Source organism: Homo sapiens, chromosome 3, assembly GCF_000001405.40.
Source record: "Homo sapiens chromosome 3, GRCh38.p14 Primary Assembly".
Lineage (NCBI taxonomy): Eukaryota > Metazoa > Chordata > Mammalia > Primates > Hominidae > Homo > Homo sapiens.
In genome coordinates, this window is record NC_000003.12 from 71,353,730 (window position 1) to 71,376,956 (window position 23,227).

At 41.3% G+C, this 23,227-nt stretch overlaps 1 protein-coding gene across 10 annotated transcripts in view; it reads right to left on the bottom strand.

Annotated features, from left to right (window-relative positions):
• Window positions 1-23,227, bottom strand: part of FOXP1 (forkhead box P1) — a 629,271-nt gene that overhangs the window by 399,022 nt on the left and 207,022 nt on the right. For 9 of the 10 annotated variants that reach the window (NR_146143.3, NR_146142.3, NM_001244810.2 and 6 more), the window contains one exon: window positions 5,421-5,515. The exons of the other annotated variant lie outside the window; for it this stretch is intronic. The gene's annotated coding sequence lies outside the window, so the exon portion shown is untranslated. The remainder of the gene's footprint in view (window positions 1-5,420; window positions 5,516-23,227) is intronic. 10 annotated transcript variants of the gene reach the window in all.

Consider the following 23,227-nt stretch of genomic DNA (forward strand, 5'->3'; position numbering starts at 1 on the left):
GCTAGAAAGTCATGTGATACAGAGTGAGACAGGTCCCTCTCTCTGCTTCAGCTTTTACATAAAAAATTCACAATGAACAACAAATGTCAACCACTGACATGGTGGAACAATATAGCAAAAATAATAGATCATCTTCTTCAAGCAGGTGGAAGAAATTGGTGTTAATAATGAAAGACATTTATATCTAACTCCTTTCAGACTATACAGACTTTGGTTTTCTATCAAAAGAGAAGTGATGTGAATTTTCAGGACCGACACATCAAGTATATTTTTTTAAAAAAAGAGAAGAGAATTGGGCTGGGCGCGGTGGTTCACGCCTGTAATCCCAGCACTTTGGGAGGCTGAGATGAGCGGATCACAAGATCAGGAGTTCAAAACCAGCCTAGCCAGCAAGGTGAAACCCCGTCTGTATTAAAAATACAAAAAAAAAAAAAAAATACTAGGGAGGCTGAGGCAGGAGAATCGCTTGAACCCAGGAGCGGAGGTTATGGTGAGCTGAGATTGCGCCACTGCGCTCCAGCCTGGGTGACAGAGCGAGACTCCGTCTCCAGAAAAAAAAAAAGAGAGAGAGAAGAGAATTTAAGGAAATTTAAGATGCCCTCTATTGCAAGGCAGGAGATCAAACCAGCTCTGATTAACTTAAAGGCAAAACATATCCCCAGCAAGAAGGCGTACAGACACTGCAGCACCCCAAACTCTCAATTTCCATGGTTTTCTGGATGTGGGTCAGGCTCCAGACACTGAGCCATTGCAGCGCTTGAGGTTTCTAGCATGTGCTACCTGAGACAGGTCATGAGCATCCAACAGTCAACGTGTCAACAACAAATATAAAACAGACTATCTCACTGCTTGCTTATTTTGTACTTTTTGAAGTTAATTCAGCACATGAAACATGAGCAAATATAATCGGGAATCAAGGTTCTTTGCCATCTTTGCCACCTCTAAAATGAACATCAGAAGAAAGCAGAAGATGAGTTTTATCAGTGGAGGTCCCCAAAGCCTTTGCTGATACCCTTAAATCAACAGCACTGTTATTCTGTTCCAGACGTTGTGCAAAGTGCTTTATACGTACCATCTAATTTAATCCTCGCAATAGCTCAGTGGCTAGGTAATGCTATTACCCCTGCCCCAGGCAAGTAAACTGAGTCTTAGAGAGAGAAAATAATTTGTCCAAAAAAAGAGCCACTGAATGAGAGTGTTGGGGTTTGAGCTTGGATCCCAATGTCCTTAATCAATTTGTACCACCCACAATATCCTTCAGGCTCAAGTGGCAAATGATTCTGTCTTCATGGGGAAGATAATGTATAACCCCTTCCGGATGGGACACGCAGAGTATGCAGTACATAGTGGGAACTTTCCAGAGAAAACCCAAGGGCAGTATTTTATTCCTACAATAAAGGTGATGTGTGTAGCTTTGTTCCTTCTCTTTCTCCCTCAACCAGATACAGTCCTCTTAGGTGCCATAAAAATACAGAAATTCACAGGGAAATCCCCAGACTCTGACTGATTCAACAAATACCGACTGCATGCATACCTACCATATGTTAGGCACTGCTAGCCATGGAGAAGCCACACTGAATACGACCTACTTCTTGCTTATTACCTGATAAACAGGTGAATTCATGAAGGGACAGGGCTGTAACATATGGAACAAACAAGAGGTTTGGATCAAGAAAAATAATAAAGGGGCTGTCCCCTTTCACGTAGGTGGTCAGCAAAGGCATGTTTAAGGGGTTGATTTTTGAACTGAACACTAAGGGATGAGAAGGAGTGAGTCCTGGGAGGCATGGAAGGTATCCCGTAATTCAGAGGCAAGGGAGATTTTATGACATCTGAGAAGAGTAATGGGGTTTAAATAAAATATTGGAAACCACGCGGCAAAAGCTCGAAGTTTCCAAGAGTCTTTTGAACACGCCAGATCTTCAAGCCACTATCTCCACACAGTGAACATGATGGAAGCAAAGCCTATGTCAGGCAGACCCCTGATAAGTACTACTATAGGCTGGGGTCTGTTGCCCCAAAACCATCAGTTCTGTGATATGGTGTCAATGTTAATGAATTATCACTGCAGGTTTGTTATTATAGGTGGTGTGACTCTTACCCGTCTCACCTAACAGGGCTCAAAAACTCAAGAGACAGCCAGGGTCACGTGGTTGGCACTGTTTTTCAATCTGGGTACAAGTCACCAACTGGGTCATCCATGAGTACTGCTGACATTCTTTGCCACGGACCTGTGGCAGCTTCTGTGTGCAGATGACACAGTCCTTTGAGGGCCATTCCCAAGAGGATCTGTGGGGGACTAGGACCTGCTTTGCCGAGTCAGCACAGAGGCAGGGATGGAGGATGAGGTGGCAGAAGATCGACATCATGTAACATCAGCCTGCACGAGCGAAACCCTACAGTTTCAGATTATCATCAGCAATACCAACTTGAAAGCAGTTAGTGAATTCTGCTTGCGAGGCAGGACCATTGTCTGACTAAGTCAAAAAAAAAAAAAAAAAAAAAGGAATAAAAAAAGAACTGTATGCTTCTCAGGGGAAATCCTCAAAACAGGATCCAGAGACCTAAGCTCTGCTAACAGGGCTACAGCAGCTGTATACATAGCTGCACGTGTCCTTGCAGATGTGCAGCAGGACAAGCTCCCAAGGCTGTACTTGCATTTACAAGGGAATACCAGGTGAGGAGCAATGGACTGCGAAACATGCGTCATCTATCAGTAAAACAACGACCAGTGAACCAGCAACAGGATGGTACAAGCTTGTCAGAGACAGAGATTTCCACTGTATCACCTGGGGTGCCTAGTACAATGCTGGCATTTATGATGTACCAGGATCCGTGCTAAGCTCTTTACAAGCATCACCTCTCTAACTCTTCAGAGTGAGCTGGCTTCTATTTTTATCCCCTTTTCCAGATAAGGAGGCCGTGGCACAGAAAGGTTAAGTAACTTGCCTAGGGTTGTTCAGCCAGGAAGTGGAAAAGGTGGAATCTGAGTCTAAGCCAATCTAACTTCAAAGCAGACACTCTTAACCATGCTGCTATCCTGTATCCACAGGAGGCATCCAAGGAGTTTCTGCGAATGCATCCATTACCCTAAGTTTTATGACTACTCGTCACAGGCCAGTATAGGCAGAGAATATATTATTAATACAAAGCATAGGGAAGTCTCATTCTATTCATTTTATGGGATAAAAAGTGGCTCACAAGAATCATGTACAGGCCAATTTGGGACAGAAAATTTGGACAGGAGTGGCTTACTTGTCCCGTGCACCCCACTCCCACGGTAAGCTTTCAGCAGAGATACAGGGAGCAACAAATCACAGAAAGGTAGGATGGAGAGTTCTGTCCCGTCCTTGAGTCTACATAAGAACAGAGGGACAATGCAAAGCTGTCAGCAATGTCCCCTGCCCATATAGGGGGAACAGAATTGGGTGTGAGTGCGTGCCACTAAGACCTCATGCTAGTACTCAAGCCTTAATGAAATCTTACATCCACAGGAAGGAAAACCCACTAGACTAGCATATTCGAGAGTTTAAATTTTGCTTTATAGCTCTCTTAATAAAGAAATGTATTTCTCAGATTTGCCATGGCACTTTCAGTAAGAATATTGTGGTCTTAAAATATTTACTGAGCTGTATCTCTGCTGAGAATTAAACAGGCTAAAATTCTAACATGTAAAATTCAAACAAGGCACAGTCAACAGAAGGCATTCATTGAAAATAAATAAAAATTAAACATGTAAGCAAAATTGACAGCATGATTTCGTAAAAGTAACCATAATGGTTGCTCAGTAAGCATTCACCTTTTCTTAGTACTAGAACCCAGAATTTACCTGGGACATCAAATTGTTCAAGTCTAAGGATGCATTTCCCAGACACCCTTACAGTTAGGGGTGGCTAATAGGATGTAAGCAGGCATCATTGGATAAGGCTACAGGGAAAGTGCTTTAAAAAGGCCTGCCTCAGCCAGGAAAACTACTTTTTGTCTTGGATGTAGAGGCAATGGCCTGAGAGCCAGCAGCCACCATGTGACCTTGAAGATGAAGGAACGCACTTGAATAAGCAGAGTAGAAAGATAGAAGACACAAACTGCTCTTCCCAGATGTTTTTACGACAGAATACTTAAATAATTTTTTATACTTATATCTCTCTTACTAGAAAACAATTCTTAACTAATATAATGACATGAAAACATATCTAAAGATGACACTACAATTTTCTCTGAGGGAAAAAAAAAACTAGAAGATTCATGAATTGGGATTCTGATTAACCCTCTATTCCCAAAGCTGTTTGTTTAAGTATGACTTGCCTTCTTAATTAGTATTGCTAGCCCAGGGAAGCATATTTGCTGAGCCTGTCTCTCTGTTTTGACATGCAAGACTTGTGAAATTTAAACATACTTGTAGGCATCCAAAGCATTATTATTTATTAAGGCCTATATTAAAGGTGAGATCTTACAGCACTCTCAGATTCTGATGATTAAAGGAAATTTAATCGTTCTTCATTGGCATTTGATCTTTAGCCTACCATAATCTACCCGCATATCCCTTCATCCATATTTGATACTAAAAAGAAAGACATTTCAACAGCTAGTCCATCAACTGTAAAATAGAAGGAACGTACAGACAAACCACATTACTCAGAAAATAAGAGAGCTTTCCCCCACACTCATTTCGCTCATGAAAGCCCAATGTGATTAAAAAGGTGAAGAAGTCACACTCCACAAGGTGAACCAGAATGACTGTAGAGCCGATCATCACATTCGTAAGGAGTTTCGAAATTTTCAAAGTGCTTTCACATGCATTATATCTTGTTTCATCCTTACAACACCATCTTTCAAGGTAGTAAGGGCAGGTATATATTTTTTATTCCTGTTTCTCGCAGATAAATGGTTTGCTCAAGGTCAGACGGAGTGGTACCCAGCGAGGTGTCAGGTTTACAGGTCAAATGTCCGTTTTTGATGCATCCAATCAAGGGACAGCCTACTATAGTCTTCAGGCCAAATATGGCTTACTGTCTGTTTTTGTAAATAAAGTCTCACTGGAGCACAGTGACACCCCTTTGCTTGTATATTATCTATGGCTGCTTTTGTGCTCTAAAGGCAGAGTTGACTAGTTGCAAAAAAGACTGTATGGCTCATGAGGATGACAATATTTCCTATCTGGCCCCTTACAAATTTTACCAACCCCTGCATTAGGTCACCTTCCCACAAATATGATCCCCGTTATGAACCCTATTCTTGAAAACCATAAAGCTATCATGGGGGGTAGCAGCATTCAAATGCCTGCTAGCTTCAGAATCAGGGCCTGATAATTAGAAAGGCCATTATCTTCTGCAGGATTACTATATCGACCACTGGGTCCCCCGCAAAGGTAGATGGCAATTTTTAGGTGGTATACAGCATCAGTGGTGTCTGTCACTTACCCTGAAATTTTAACGTGTCTCACAGCCATAAAAAGCCTGGGGTCACTGGGAGGGGGCATGCATAATGCCACAGGACTGCAACACACAGAGGGAAGCTGAAAGCAAAAAGAAAAGAAGAGGTTAAGTGAAGGGGCAAATGGTGATGCTTCAAAAGCAACACAGACACACGAGCCTTTGGTATCCCTCATTTACATACCACATTTACCTTCAGTATATAATCATGTATCTAAGCATCTATTTTATCCTTTGCCTTCTAGAATCAGCATTTGACCTAGCTCACAACCTGAATTACAGGAGGAGGATGCAAAATGTTATGTAGGTGAGTAAAACTGTCACTCTTGAAGGCACTGACATCCACTTAGGAAGTTAAGTTCCTTTATCTTCCGTACCATAATTTCTATTTCTTTTCTTTTTTCTGAGACAGGGTCTCGCTCTGCCACTCAGGCTGGAGTGCAGGGCACATTCAGGGCTCACTGCAGCCTCAACTTCCCAGTCTCAAGCGCTCCCAAGTACCTTGAACTATAGGTGTGCGCCACCATGCCCAAATAATTTTGGAATTGTAGTAGACAAGCTAAATTTTAGTAGGCCGGCTGGTCTCAAACTCCTGAGCTCAAGTGATACTCCTGCCTCAGCCTACAAAGTGCTGCAATTATTTTTCCAGACACAGTCTTCTTCTATCTCCAAGGCTAGAGGAGTGCAGTGGCATGATCTCGGCTCACTGCAACCTCCACCTCCCAGTTTCAAGCGATTATCCTGCCGCAGCCTCCCGAGTAGCTGGGATTACAGGTGTCCGCCACCGTGTCTGGCTAATTTTTGTATTTTTAGTAGAGACAAGGTTTCACCATGTTGGCCAGGCTGGTCTCAAATTCCTGACCTCAAATGATCCACCCGCCTCGGCCTCTCAAAGTGCTGGGATTACAGGCATGAGCCACCATGCTCGGCTTATAATTTCTTATTTCTCAAGATAAATTCTCATAATTACAGTGCTAATACATCCTGAGAAATAAGAAAAAGAAGATCCATAGGTCCAAATGATAATTTTGCCATGAGTTTTGATCTTTTAGCCTATCTCAATGCACTCAGTAGAAGAGACAGGAGGAAGTAAGTACATACATGGACACAGGCGCCCTACTAGCGAAACATACAAGCTCTCTCCTGACAGCCAAACAGAAAATCTTACTTGCCACAGTTAGCAACTCTTTTTTTTTCAGTTGCATTTCAAATGCAAAAGGAGACTGTGACACACCTTCTCATGGAAACAGTCACTCTGTTCATGTGCTGAGACTGCAAAGCTTTCATCGCTTGGTTAGGTTATTAGTAGAATATTTACCAAATCCAATTCCAAGTAAGTTGAAGTTGCTGACAGATAAGTCAACTCATCCTCAAGCACTTTCAGAAAGTTTTTGCGAATAGCTGTCAGTAGCAAGGTTTCACATGCCGGGTCTTTTCTGCATAGATCCTTGAGATAATAATGCCATCTATATGGTCCTCAAGATTAAATAAAGGACTCTCACTAATACAGAAAAAAAAAAATGGAACTATAGAATGGGTAGAAAGCCTGAGCTTTCAAGGCACGTACATGTACGTCTGTGTGCAGTGTTCTCTTTCAATAGTAAATTCAGGCAATACTTTGTGAATTTACATGTTTTTAACCTACTCAGATGGAGAAGTTGAAACTAAAAAGGAGATGCACGAAGTTTTATGATTTGAATAGTCACCTGTCTCCGGAAACTATGTGGGCTGTCTGCCTACCAGAACTCAGAAGAGAGTTAAGAGATGGTGTTCCCAGTGGGTGTCTCTTCTAGATATGAGATAAACTCAGGCCAGATTTGTCCACACTATGTTTTCTAGGTATCTGGTGTCTAGTGTGCATAAACTCTTTGCACATGACTTCTGAATCTTCATTCTTATATGAGTTTAATGTGCTGTGTGGGCATTTTCCCTCTTGAGCAAGGGAGCTTAAGAGTATGATAAGAATGCATCAAAAATGTTTTTAAGATAATTTCAGTTGGTAAAGGCTGTAATCGTTCAAACTTAATTGGTGAACTCATTAATGAGCAACTGCCACTAAAAGAAAGATGACCATTGTCATCGACTTATCAGAGCAACGAGATAATGAAGTTAATTATATTGTTTTCAGTGGATTTACACTGGCTGCCTTTTAGATTCTACATTTCCAAACATTTGTTCTGACACCCCATGAGTTTGGACTCTTAACAAAAAACTATGAGCTGTGGACTCCTCAAGGAACAGTCGGCAGATCACAGCCCCACGTCAGGGCAATGCAATTGGAAAACTTTTCTCCCCTTTATTATCTACTTGTAAAATGTTATAAGCCTGTAAACTAGTTAATTTATGAGCCGTGTTAATAATTTGCTCACACTCGATTGCAGGTTTGGCAAACACAGTTTCCAAGGGATGTGGGAGGATAATTTGTAGGTCCGGCTTCTCTCCTAAGGGGACACTAACTAATTTGACACAGTAACATGACATTGATGGCGGGGCACACTAATGACCATTCTCCAAGACAGGGCTGTCAGCCTGTCGTTCCAGTGAGACGCCGGTCTGCTTTCACCGCTGCTCAGGACTGGATGCTCAACTAATTATTCAGACAGCGACATTAATGAGAGCCCTCATGTTTATTTTCAACAGACTAACCAGCGCTTAGCTTCCATTTGTCTGATATGGTCACTGATTAAAATGTGTTTCATGAATAGTAAATTTGAACTCTAATATAACAAAGAAGCACCGGAGAAAAATAAGGAACAGCTGACTGGAAAACCAACCTCGTCCAAGCAATTTGTTTTCTGCCCCATATATCGTCAAGGACAAAGTGACAGGTAGTGGGAAATGTCATGGAGTACCAAGAAAAGTGAGTGGAGTATTTTTAATTACACATGTCTGTGGACAAGTCTGACTTTTGACTAAGGCCCCTGGATCACAATATGGCCAAGAGCAGCTTCCATCTCAAACAAACTTCACTAACTGTATGATACTGAATGAAAATTTGTGTTTTATTATTTATTCATTTATTTATTTTTGAGATGGAGTCTCGCTCTGTCACCAGGCTGGAGTGCAATGGTATGATCTCGGCTCACTGCAACCTCCACCTCCTGGGTTCAAGCAATTCTTCTGCCTCAGCCTCCCGAGCACCTGGGACTACAGGTGCCCACTGTAATGCCCAGCTAATTTTTTGTATTTTTAGTAGAGGCGGGGTTTTGCCGTGTTAGCCAGGATGGTCTGGATCTCCTGACCTTGTGATCCACCTGCCTCAGCCTCCCAAAGTGCCAGGATTATAGGCGTGAGCCACCGCGCCCAGCCCTATTATTTACTTTTTTGAGAAAGGGTCTCACTCTGTTGCTCAGGCTGCAGTGCAGTGGCATGATCTCTGCTCTTTGCAGCCTCAATCTCCCAGGCTCAAGCCATCCTCCCACCTCAGCCTCCCAAGTAGCTGAGACTACAGGCAGGTGTCACTATGTCTGGCTAATTTTTGTATTTTTTGTAGAGACAGTGTCTCACTGTGCTGCCCAGGCTGGTCTGAAACTCCTGGCCTCAAGCAATCTGCCTGCCTTTGTCTCCCAAAGTGCTGGGACTACAGGCATAAGCCATCATGCCCAGCCTGAATGAAGATATTTAAAGTTAGTATTTTCCAGGAAATGACCAAAATTTGCTTATGTGTGTTTTTTGAACCTTACAAACTTTGATCTTTGATTAGTCTATAATATGATCTTCACAAACATTAATAAATGCTGTTGTATTTTTTCCAAATCTACTGTAAAACTATACTGCTGAGGGTGTCTTAAAAAGTGTTTTTTAATGTCTTCTTTTATGTCTTGTTTCTAGTCTACTAAACCTTGTAATCAAGTTCTTTGTACTTTAAATTAAATTTCTATTTTGGTGTGATAAATTTTGTCCTTCATTTTAGGGTGATTATAATCCTAAAATATTCATATAATCATGATGTAAATGAATAACTTTAAAAAAAAAAGGTGTGTTTAGATCTATTAAAGGTGTTAAAAAATTGAAAATTTTTTCAATTTTTTATTGATATAATTCTGATATAATTCATTGTAAAATGTGCAATTCAAAATAAGTAACAGTGGTAGTATTTCAACAGATGTTCTATCTGCCATCACGGATAAAGAATTCTACTCAATATTGTGTACAACTTCTTATTTTATAAAATAGCAAAATAAATTTGAGTACACGTAGATCACTTTGGGAAGGAAAATGTCACTGCATGCAACATTTCTTAAGTATGTATTCCTAAACTTACTCACTCTGAGATAGATCTGTCATTTTAGAACGCCAAAATGCCTAAATGGCACACAACATGTGGGAAGTAGATTCAGACTGCAGGCTAATTTTTTAAATATATTTAAACAAGTAGGCAGATAAATTGTTCCAAACCAGCACGACTGTCTTTAAATGCTGCCCTTCCCAGGGGACTTGTTGGAGACAGGTTCTCAGATTATCAGCACCTCTGGGCAGTTTATGTATGGTAAACATTTGTCCTCCATAATAATACAAGAAAATGCGGTCAGTCTGTGGCAAAGACCAGCTAAACGTTCATCAAATCCATTTCTTTTTCCTGAACACACAGCTGGAATGCATTTCCCAGCATCCCTTGTAGTTAGGTGGGGCCTGGTGACTGAGTTCTAACCAAATAGATGGAAGTGGGTATACACTACTTTCATTCAGATCCTGAAGCCTCTGGCACCCTGCCTAATGACTGCTTTCTTCCCTGGATCGTGGGCGCAGAGATCCAGTAGAGAATGCCTAGTTCCTGGAGATAGTGGAGTCACTGGATGGAATTCGCCTGGGTCCCTGAAAGACTACATGGAGCAGAGCCACCACCGCTCCAGTCCCCCTCAACCAGCACTAACAGTGGGAGGTGCTCACCCATTAAACTGCACTGAGTTAAGCTCCCGAGCAGCTGGGACTACAGGCGCGTGCCATCACACCCGGCTAATTTCAAAAATTTCAAATTCTGGAATGTTGGTTACAGCTGCTAGTATCTCTTACCCAAATACATGGACCTTTCCAATTTCTCCCTGGCTTTTACTTGGGTCTCCAGGTAACCATAAGTAAGCAGAAGCTCTGTCAATTTGGAACATTTTCTGAAAATATTTCATAGTTACCATTATTTGCTCCTCTAACTAAGCTAAGGGTAGTAAAAGGAAAGGGAACCAACAGCTAATGTATGCCCAAAATGTGTCAGACATAGTTTTACTTACTTAACCTTCACGTAGCCCAGTAAGGAAGTTTGATTCCCACTTTACAGGTAAGAATACTGAGCTTCTAAGAAGTGAAATAAAACCAAATGCCACAGAATATTGATCCAGTTGACAGTTTCCTAGTTGAATGCCTTTTGTTGTTGCTGTTGAATTGGCTTTTAATATCCAAACTTTACAGAAAATACATGTTTTATTTATTTCTAAATAAAACAGTTTTGTCTGCTGCTATTATAAAAGAAAAAATCCTATCACATCCTTCAAATTTAATGTAACATTTTTAACGAAATGGGTGAAGGTTAAGTGTCACATTGCAGTACAACTGGTAGAACATCAGATACCTCCCTAGAGGTTTTGAAAACCCAGCCACAAAAGTGATGCGTTTCAGATGTTCTTCATGATTAAAAAAGAAGTCACATTTCAAACAAAATAAATGTTGAGATCATATTAACTGTTAACTAATTAATGTTTTAAACATTTTTACATCCTTAACGTGATAGCTGTGTATATATAAGATATTTTACTATCTTTTAGTCATATTTTAGAAAAGAGTTGGTAAACTTTTTCTGTAAAGGAACACTTAGTGAATATTTTAGACTCTGGTGCCACAGCTCTCTATTGCAACTACTTGGGTACTACAGTAGAAAAGTAATCACATGTAAACAAGTGGGTGTTGTTGTGTTCTAATAAAACGTTATTTACACAAACTGGCAGTGGGCTGGATTTGCCAACTTCTGCTTCAGAACATTGATTGAGGGTTTTGCACATTGACACATAACACATTAAAATTTGTCCTATGTAAAATAATGTGAAATAGACTCTGGTCAGCACTTTCACTCAGGATATCTGACTGCCAGGGATGGATTACTGATGGTAAGGGTAGTTGCCTTAATTTGCCAAAGGGTTAAGAGATGAGTGCTGGCAGGCTCAGCTTCCACTCACTCACCCCATGCCTGGTTCTTTCCCCTAAGTCATGCCACCTTTCCAAGGGCCCATGCGCCCACATAGACAGCTTACTAGAATCCCATGCCATTCCGAACAAAAATCCAAGGAATACTTGCAACAACCAAAAAAAAAAAAAAAAAGCTGAAGCTTTTTCTCATCAATACAGTCAAGCCCCTGTGTTAAGATAGTGTAGGTAACAGTCACCTTAAAGTGACTTTATGTTGGACCTTTTTTAAAAAAGCAAAATAAACAGTAGATTTTAGATGTCACTGGAAGAGTGAGACAGAAATGACATCCACTAAAAGTTTCAAAATCAGGCATGAAGATTCCCTAAATTAGAAGCAAACTGCTTTCTTGGATTTAAAGGATGTTCCGGCTGGGTGCGGTGGCTCACGCCTATAATCCCAGCACTTTGGGAGGCCAAGCCCGGCAGATCACGAGGTCAAGAGATGGAGACCAGCCTGGCCAACACGGTGAAACCCCATCTCTACTAAAAATACAAAAATTAGCTGAGCGTGGTGGCGTGTGCCTCTAGTCCCAGCTACTAGGGAGGCTGAGGCAGGAGAATTGCTTGAAACTGGGAGGCAGAGGTTGCAGTGAGCCCACTGCACTCCAGCCTGGCGACAGGGCAAGACTCCATTTTAAAAACAAAACAAAACAAAACAAAAAACAAGATGTTCCTTCTTAACCAATTTCAGGGTAGGAGCTACATGTCCAGTGATAGAATATGCCAGAAACAATGAGTCAAATGTATTATTCCCCCACTATTCTCTCAAGGATGTACAATTATTGTAATGACGACTTGGTCCACTTTTTTTTTCGTTGTGGATGGCAAAGCTCAGAGACATACATACAGAGAGATATCTTTTTTTAAATCTCAGTTCCCCATTAATGTTTTATTATAACAGTTAAGTGTAAAAGATGATTTGAGACATAAAATGGGTAAATTTTATGAATCTGTCTTATCTTAAATGTCTATCAAAACAGAACAAAAGCAAGTAAATGATAATCCAGTCTGACAAAGGCATATTTTATAGGTTGTAGTCATTAAAAATGGGGAAATGTGTGCAAATGCTTGTTAATGTGATATAAAATAAGCAAGATAGGAAAATTGTATCTACAGTAATTCTCAGCTGTATAAAAATATGTGTCAATGAAGAACAGAAAAAAATAAAATTAACAGTATTTGCCCTAGAGAAATGGGATTACGGTCAGGATTTTTCTTTAGAATTTTTTGTATTCTCTAGATTTTCCAAAACCAAGTAATATCCAAAATACCTGTTATACAATTTGAAACAATGGTTTTGACTTTAAAAAAAGAAGAAACATTTTGCACATTTCTACTCATTTATTAATGGCTTTTGACTGTCTTGTTTCCAGACTAGAAGTGTCTTGAGAGCAGAGATTCATGTTATTTCTCATGCCCCAAACACAATGTTTATGGTATCTTACGCACTCAATTAACATTCCTTAAAGCAACTGAATAGACCACCTTACTTTTTAAAAGTCCTCTTAATGAGATTCCCTAAATAAATTAAATTTTCATACTTTAAGCCTTTACAAGAAATTAAATAATTTTGTTTAAAGAGGTTGATTGCTTGCGGATTATGGCTGTAAATAAATTGCTTGATGTAAAATTATACTTTCTCCTCTTCCCTTTTTCCATGATGGCACACAATAATTTGTCTTTTAATAACCTCAAACAGTTCTGAGTCATTTGCTCATTAAAAACAAAATACATCTTGATCACAAAGTTTGGCATTTCATAAATATTTACCCCAAATGCACTGCCTGCTTTGAAGCTGGGATGGTAAGCTCCTGATTGACAAGCAACTTCTGTGCAGAAGGAGGGAGGAGACCTCTCCTGTCAGCTAGGAGAAGGCCACCACACTGCCTTTGCGCCTCCTCTCTCCTGCAGAGGCTCCTTCCCCACAGCCAAAAAACCCACAATAAATGTGATCAGCATTCATCAGTGTCTCTCTCACATACACATACACACTCCCTCTCTCTCACGTTGCATTCACTCCCTGTTTGCATTCTCTCAATGGCTTCCCAGTAGTGTCAGAACAGGGGCCAAAAGCATTCCCGTGGTTTACAAGGTCCTGTATGACCTGACCCCTGTTGACCTCTCTGGCCTCCCGCTTAACTACGTATCTCCACTACAAGCTTCTCACTGAGTCTTCATACTGGGCTGGAAGGACGGCAGGGAGGGATATCGAAGATTAGATGAAGATTTCAGCTCCTATCCTGAGAACCGTGATGCTGAGTGGGTAAAACAACATATCTTTACCTAAAAAAATCCAAAAACAACAACAAAAAACAGTGTACTATAAACACTCTGTGTTTTCCTCCACCGAATATATCATGGATCATTTTTCATATCATTTTCTGGATGAAAATAAGTGAGATTAGTGAACAGAAAATTCAAATCTTAAAAGCAACTTCAATTTTCTCCTTAAGAAATAAGAATTTGACCACCAGTCCTTTCCAAGACCATAATGATGGCTAGTGGTAATGGACTAGTTAGTCCTCTGCAATACCACCAAACTTTTTCCCAGAGTTGTCAACTCCAGGAGCAGAAGAAAAAAATAATGCCAACCACAGAACACAAGCAGATATTGTCCTGTGAGAGCCAATCTGTTTGGATTCAAACGTGTTCACCACTTAGGGTTGAATATTTCATTTGATGACATAAGGACTGCATGCTACAGCTGGACCCTCGACAAATTACCCTGGTGAATCCTACAGAGGAAGACAGGCTCTTAGTTGGGATTTATTTATTTAATTTTTATTTTATTTATTTATTTATTTTTTTAGATGGAGTTTCACTCGGTTGCCCAGGCTGGAGTACAATGGTGTGATCTCGGCTCACTACAAACTCTGCCTCTCAGGTTCAAAGGATTCTCCTGCCTCAGCCTCCTGAGTAGCTGGGATAAACAGGCGTGTGCCACGACACCTGGCTAATTTTTGTATTTTTAGGAGAGATGGGGTTTCAGCATGTTGGCCAGGCTGGTCTCGAACTTCCTGACCTCAAGTGATCCGCCTGCTTTGGCCTCCCAAAGTGCTGGGATTACAGGCATGAGCCACCATGCCTGGCCTTAGTTGGGATTTAAATGAAAGACATCCTCTTCATGACATGCAAAAGTTAAGAACCACTGTGGGTCATCACTCTCATTAGTCTCTGAGAAAAAAAGGGTATTGATATATGCACAGGCTACAAAAATAGGAAGTATGCTTTATTTTGATCAAACCTCAGTAGCTAAAACCAAAGTAATCAATTGTTGGGACTGTCACATGATAACTAATTTCACTGCAATGTCTTCATCCTGGGTACACAGGGAAATGACATTTCCAATTCCAATCCCAATTTCACTGGCATTTATACAAGTCAGGCCCATGTGACTGATTTCTGCTCAATGGGATGTCAGCAGTAGCAAGGGGCAGCACTTCTAAGCCCATGATGGAAGGTCAACTGCACTCCCTGTTCCTCTTCCCCACCAACTGCTGAGACCCCATAACAAGAATAAGATGAGGAGGTTCAACAGACATGAAGGGAAGAAAACATATACCTTATTATGTAAAGCTACCAAAATCTCTGTGTTAGTCACAGCAGCTAACACATTGTGAGTGTATACCGCATTAGGATCTACCTCAAAGAAATACTTATTTCTGCCCTCATTAAGATCTACCTCAAATAAATACTTATTTCTGGCTTTGTCTATACTTCTCCCATCTTGACCCCATGGGACCATGTCTTTTTTTTTTTGAAATGGAGTCTCAGCTGGGCACGGTGGCTCACGCCTGTAATCCCAGCATTTTGGGAGGCTGAGGCAGGTGAATCAGAAGGTCAGGCGTTCGAGACCAGCCTAGCCAACATGGTGAAACCCCGTCTCTACTAAAAATAGAAACAAATTAGCTGGGCGTAGTGGCGGGTAAGGGGCATAGCCTTGCCTCTGCAGGCTGAGGCAAGAGAATAGCTTGAATCTGGGATGCGGAGGCTGCAGTGAGCCGAGATCACTCCACTGCACTCCAGCCTGGGCAACAGAACGAGACTCCGTCTCAAAAAAACAAAAAAACAAAAACAGAAACGGAGTCTCGCTCTGTCACCCAGGCTGGAGTACAATGGCGCAATCTCAGCTCACTGCAACCTCTGCCTCCTGGGTTCAAGCGATTCTCCTGCCTCAGCCTCCTAAGTAGCTGGGATTATAGGCATGCACCACCATGCCCAGCTAATTTTGGTATTTTTAGTAGAGACGGGGTTTCACCATGTTGGTCAGGCTGGTCTTGAACTCCTAACCTCGTGATCCGCCCGCCTCAGTCTCCCAAAGTGCTAGGATTACAAGCGTGAGCCACTGTGCACAGCAGGGACCATGTCTTAATATCCGGTGTAACCCCCTTTTAGGAAGAACCCGCCACTATGTCTTCCAAGATCGACCATAGAGTGTAGTTAATCAACTCAGAGGGAAAGCATCCAAGAAACAGCTACTTTCTCAGTACCACCACATGCCAGACACTATGTTTGAAGCACAATATAGCTTGAACTTGAGACAAATGAGGTTTAAGACCTCCTGGAGCCCACATACTACCAGGAAACACTAACAAAAGCACATGGGAATGATTAACACACAGATGTAACCTAAGCACAAGGGGTCAGAAAAGATTTCGTGGAAGAAATGACCTGCAAGCCATTAAATTAGAAGTCGGTGGGTGTTAGCCAGGTAGAGAGCACTGGGTGGAGGGTGAGGGAAATGATCCTAGGATTTTCTGACAGCGCTGTTGGACAAAGCAGATAGGAGCAAGCACAAATACCAGGCCTGAAAATAATCAATCTTCTGCCTTCTTCCATGACACTAAAAACATAACTTGGGAGTGCCAGGACTTCCAAAACCAAAACAGGGCCAAATAGATTGAGTAATACAGAAATAAAAGAATGCTATTACACTCTGCTAAGTGTCTCAATGGTGTAACTTAAGACAAAAACACTTGTTTTTCTATCAGTGACAGGGAGAAAGGAGTGAGTTATTCACACTGACACTGCTTTTCTAAATTATCTGAGAAAATAGTACCATGAGAAACGAGGTCACCTGAGTTCACACACCATAGCACTTGTCCTTAAACATCCACCCAACTCCTCCTTTAGAAATATAATTATCCTTAAAAATACAAGGTTAGTTTTGTTTATTCTTTCACTCCATAAACACTTGAGGAAAGGGCACTAGAACAGAGTCACAAGACGCAGGTTCCGATCGGCACCGGGGCACCACTTTGCTATAGCCCTTTATTGTGTCTGTCTTATCTTCCCATGAGACTAGTGCATTAGTGCATTTGTAGTAAGTCCCAAGTCTTTTCTGCCACTATCTGCCACAAACACCCTATAACGGGCTTCTCAAACTTGCATGCTCATCAAAATCACCTGGAGGTCTTGTTACAAGCACATTGCTAGGTCCCAACCCTAGAGTTTTTTTTGTTGTTTTTTTTTTTTTTTTTTACTGAGAAGGAGTCTTGCTCTGTGGCCCAGGATGGAATGCAGTGGCATGATCTCAGCTCACTGCAACCTCCACCTCCCGGGTTCAAGCAATTCTCCTGTCTCAGCCTCTCAAGTAACTGGGACTACAGGCACACGCCACGACGCCCAGCTAATTTTTTTAGTAGACGCTAGGCTGGTCTCGAACTCCTGACCTCAGGCAATCCACCCACTTCAGCCTCCCTGTAATCCCCTGCCAGGATTACAGGCGTGAACCACTGCGCCTGGCCCCCAACCCCAGAGTTTCTGATTCACTATGGCTACAGTGAGGCCAGAAAATTTCAATTTCTAACAAGTTCTCAGGTGCTGCTTCCGCCACTGCTGCTGGTTCAGGCGCCACACTTGGAGGACTGTGCTCTGAAGCACTGTGCTTCCACCCTTGTATTGGTGCGTAGCTGCATCTCACCGCCAGTTAGAAAAGGGTTTTCTCATTTCACCAGGGCCAGCTGAGTCTGTCTCAGGTGTGGCATCTTCCAGGATTCCATGCTCAACCTCAGGGAACCAGAATCTCAGCCTCTCCCCCAAAGAAGCCTACTCTCAAGAACACACCTGACACCGCAATCCATTCCCCAGTCCACGTGGTTTGTTCTCACACCTGAATCAGAAGTCACTGCCTCCAACTGCTTCGCATCCATTTCAGAATAAAATCCAGGCTGGGTGCAGTGACTCATGCCTGTGATGCCAATATTTTGTGAGCCTGAGGCAGGAAGATCGCTTGAAGCCAGGAGCTTGTGACCAGCCTGGGCAACACGGCAAGATTCCATTACAATAAAAAATTTAAAAAATTACGCAGGCATGGTGGCACACCCACCTGTGGTCCTAGCTGCTTGGGAGGCTGAGGTGGGAGGATCATCTGAGCCCAGGAATTTGAGGCTGCGGGGAGCTACAATTGCATCACTGCACTCCAGCCTAGATGGCAGAGAACAAAACCCAGTCCTTCGCCCCGGTATACAGGGTCCTGCTGACCCCCTAACCTCTCCCACACCATCCTCACTCCCTACCTCCTTCTCTAATAACCACATGGAGCCACACTGGTCTTTCTGACCCCACACCACACTCGGCTTATTCCTTACTCTGAGGCTTAGCCCTCTTCATTCTCTGCAGGAAAGGTTCTTCCCCTGGCTCTTTGTACATGAGGATCATTCTTTCGTCTTTTCTTTCTTTCTTTTTTTTTTTTTGAGATGGAGTCTTGCTCTGTCACCCAGGCTGGAGTGCAGTGGCACGATCTCAGCTCACTGCAACCTCGGCCTCCAGGGTTCAAGCGATTCTTCTGCCTCAGCCTCCCAATTAGCTGGGATTACAAGCATGCACCACCATTCCTGGCTAATTTTTTTTTTTTTTGTACTTTTAGTAGAGACAGGGTTTTGCCTTGTTAGTCAAGGTGGTCTCGAACTCCTGACTTGAGGTGATCCGCCCGTCTCAGCCTGCCAACGTGCTGAGATTACAGGCGTGAGCCACTGTGCCTGGCCGAGGATCATTCTTTAAGTCTTAAATAGAAAGTCACCTTTTCCAAGAGGCCTTCCCTGGCTAGACAGGCTTTCCCAAGGTCTGTGCTTTCCACTGTATCCTGTGTGAACTCCCATTCCACGCAGATATCTTGTTCCTTCGTTTCACTTGCACTCTCTGCTTCTTTATACTAGAGGACAAACTCCAGGAGAACAGAGTTCTCCTGGTGGAGCTGTCATAGAGTTTGCCCTCTAGTAGAAAGAAGCCGAGAGGGCAAAGGTCTGTTTCCTGCCTTGCTATGCACTCCTCCTCCTGCCATCTACAGCACAATGACTGTCACACAGCAGGCACTCAGCAGATATGCGTTGAATGGATGAATTACTAAATCTAAATATACCATGCTATCCTTCCATTGAATAAAAAGCTAAGAAAAAAGAAAACCTCACTCGAAGCTATAATGTAACAAGTTATAAATGCCAGAGTGATTTGCAAATGCACACGACAAGATCAGTTACAGAAATGATGAATCTAGGCTTGGAATTCAGGCATCAGAAATTGACTTGGGTTGAGGACTGGAAGAGATTCTCCCTTCTATGTCGTAAATGACCCTTGAGAGGCCCACCTTGCCCCCTACAAAATATCTCAAACAATGTCTGAAAGGTAGGATCCTTAACTCTTGACTTCTTGAACTTCTTTTTAATGTCACTCACTCCCAGTGCCAGGTGCAAGAAGAAAAGTAGGTACTAAAATTGTCTGCACGCTGAGCTCCTCTACCCTGGACGACTCCGAAAAACCACTTGTAAGTATTCTATGTTAACCACAGTTCGTAATTTTGTCACAGGTGTTTGACTAAAAAGGGGACAAAGCCTTTTAAGATAGTACACCCATATTATGTCATTGTGTATATTCCGGACCACACCTAAAAGCTGACAAAATCTTTTCTTTCTATGCCATGGCAACCAGGAGAGTTAATGCTGCATGATTTTGCTAAGAGCATCCTATATGCTCCAAAATGTTCGCCTTTACAAAAAAAAAACATGTTAAAGTAGAATTTTAACACAACTTGTCATAAAAGCTGACACTAGTACACTGGAGAGGAAACCAAATGACATGAGTTGTACCTGGCAGTTCAACAGAATATAGGATCAATACTCTTTGTAAGGCAGCCAAAGCATTGGTTAGAAGTTCAAGTGAGGAGGATGAAGTGAATGAATATTCAAAGTATACTATACCAAATGATTTTTCTATAGTTATAAAAAAATCATTAAAATGCACTAAGCTTCACAAAAAGCAGCATAGTGAGGTGACACTGGTGCCAGTCCTGGTTTGGACATTAATTTACTTCTTGTGTGGCTTTGGAAAAGTCATGCACCCTCTCTGAAACACATTATCAGGAGAAGGTTTAATGAACTCGATCATCTCAAAGTTTCTTGCTAGTCCACATGCTTGTTGAGCCTATGAATGTTTCTGGACACGCATCTTAGGTGGAAAGACACAAAGAAAAGGGTGAACTCACCTCTACCCTGCTAATGATAAAACAAATGCTCTGACAGCTGTCTTCTTGTAGCAAAGACAAAGGTGTGGAGTGGCTATACACTGGGGTTTGCTGAATCTTTTCAAATAAAGTTCTGTTTCTATATACTGCAGGAGGGTGAGTTGATGTAGTAATTACCTGTTACTCTTGACAAGTAAGGTAATTAATGTAGCAAAATACCACTGCAATGTGTGTAAATTTAGACCACCATAATTAAAGCACCCGTCTGTTCCACAAACTGTTCAATTAAGAAAAAATATTGACGGTGTACGTTTTTTGAAATTAAAAAACGTATGGAATGAATGAATCTCCCTTGGTTGACATCCGTTTCTAGAACGTGTTCTCAGCATCCATAAAGGCTATATAATGGAGTAACTTCCACTGAAACACAGAAGTATTTCTGTACATCTACTATTAAGATAAGAGTCTCTTGTGGAAGTATTTTATTCAGAATTTGCATTCTATAAAACCTACATCTGGGCCATGCGTGGTGGCTCATGCCTGTAATCCCAGCACTTTAGGAGGCCGAGGCAGGCAGATCACTTGAGGTCAGGAGTTTGAGGCCAGCCTGGCCAACAAGGTGAAACCAGTTTGTACTAAAAATACAAAAATTAGCTGGGTATGGTGGCACACACCTGTAATCCCAGCTACTTGGGAGGCTGAGGCAGAAGAATTGCTTGAACCTGGGAGAAAGAGGTTGTAGTGAGCCAAGAGTGCGCCACTAAACTCCAGTCTAGGTAACACAGCAAGAGACTCTGTCTCAAAAAAAAAAATAAAAATAAAAATATCTGTCAGAAAATGAATTCTAGGAGTATATGAACCCCAAAGCTATTGGAGGTAGCAAAAAGGTGAGAAATAATTATTGTGCAAGTATCCAAGTAACTATGCCTGTCCCAGTGTATCATAACCTGAAAGTAGCATTGTCTACTTGCCAATTTTAAAGAGCTGGAGACACTGAACACATGATGTGCTAGTAAAATAGCTGCAAAGCACCTGGTACTCTCTGAACAGATAGGCAATGGTGTGAAAGTTGGCTTCACTACTCTTTTATTCTCATTCCTTCCTCTATCTACTAGCCATTTCCAGACCCAAATGTTAACATCTTGAACAAGAAGACTACCTGGCCTTTCACTCTATAGCAAAGTGTATCTCCCTGCTACTCTAGATGTTTAGATTTTCTAGGTTTATTCTAGATTTTCTACTCTAGGAAATCTAGACAATCTCTAGCCACGTCAAGAGTTAAATGCCCAAATAAATTAAACCAGAACTGCTGTAAGACTAAGGAGAGAAAAAAATCTGTTACCAGTTCAGTAGAAAAGTGGTTACCTCTAAATGCATTCATAGTGGGTAGGGGGTTGGGAGGAAAAAACAGAAAAGAGCTTCTGATATCTATATGGTAAAGTAGAGAACTGGACAAGGGTTCTCACAGCTCATGCTGAGAAGAAAACCCAAGGGATTCCTCTCTTAATTCTTCCACTCAGATAAACTCAGAGAAGACACAACAAATTGGCCTGAATAAAGAAACAGCTGGAATTCTGACAGACTAAACAGTGTGATATGAGCAAGAAATGGTATATGATTTTGGTGTTATTTAATGATGTATATACACGTTTTGTTTCTTTTTCATTTTTCATATTTTTGTATAGCATACCTTACCTTAGGAAACGTAAACTCTAGAGGGGTAACTAAAAGGTAACTTCAAGTGAATTCTCAGCTTAACATCCTGAAATTAAGTCCTAAATGTTCCATATCTGAGAACTTGGATGTATCCCCAAGTAAAGAATAAAGAGTACAAGGAGACATTCTAGACTGAAACACGTTGAGGAAATGAAATGGTTTCTCCAAGTCAAATACTCCAATTTCACATTTGGAAATAATAACAATGTCATTAAAAGACAAGGATGGAGAAATCACTGTTCTAGTTGTTGATATAAACAAAGCTAGACATCATGACTTTTACAAAATCAGACGATTCCTTAGAAGGAAACGGACTTGGTAAAAGTCGCTTTACAGCTTTCATTATATGGTGTCACTGGAGTGTTAACCTTTAAAATGAGTATTTTTCAAAAATTGTATGGCTTCAAAAGAGGCTAACTCTATAGTATGGTAGGGATGGAGACATAAAGGAACATGATTTGGGGTTCTGATGTAAGATTCGTGGACTGCAAACTAAAATTTCTGACTTTCAAATGCTGAAGAACCATCCAAAGAACCAAGGAAGGTCAATACTGTTTTTGCTCACGGAGCAAATTTAAGAGAGATGAAATCCCCACAAGCATCTATTTCAAAGATTACATCAAATGTCATTGATGGGCCATAATAATGTAACAAAACATTACTGAATTATTTCACCTCCATTCCATCATGTGATCCTCACAAACCACTGGAGTAAGATTAATCCCATCTTATAGACAAGCAAAGTAAGGCCCAGAAGCAGCTACATGATGTGGCTGAGTTCCCAAAAAGTTGCTGTACTGAAACAATTTATTCTTCATGGAATGGGATAAATACTTGTCTCCACTGAGTCCATTTACGGAGAATATGTCAATGATGTGTTTGCCTTAGTACTTACAGTTCAGACTTGTGTCTTAAAAAATCTATCTTAAAATTACCAGTGATATTGGCTAGTACATTCAAAAGCAATGGTAGTATACATTGTTAAGGAATCACCGAAGATGAGAACAAAGATCTGGTTTCAAATTCTGGCTTATTCATTTAGTAGAAATACCAAATTGGAACTTGTGGCCATCTGAACTCAAAATAGCGTAAGAAGCCAATTAAGCCTAGAATTTGCTTTGCCCCAAAAGGGGGCTCACGGGAAACAACACCATCAGCTTCAATTTTCCACTTTACATAAATCAGTTCTTTGTTTAACTTCCTCTTAGCCTTTTCCTCTTAACCCCTCGATGGCATCACACCATGGTCCCCTTTCATCTGACAGACAGAATCTGAGAACCATGGAGTTGGAGGATGATTTTTACACATCATGTACATTCTCCAGAATGTAGAAACTGATGCGAGAAATTGAAAAAAGGTGAGGGTATACAAAGAAGCAAAGATAAAGAATTATCACAATTATACCTATCATATGTATTCTTTTTTTTTAACCTACAGAAACTCAAAA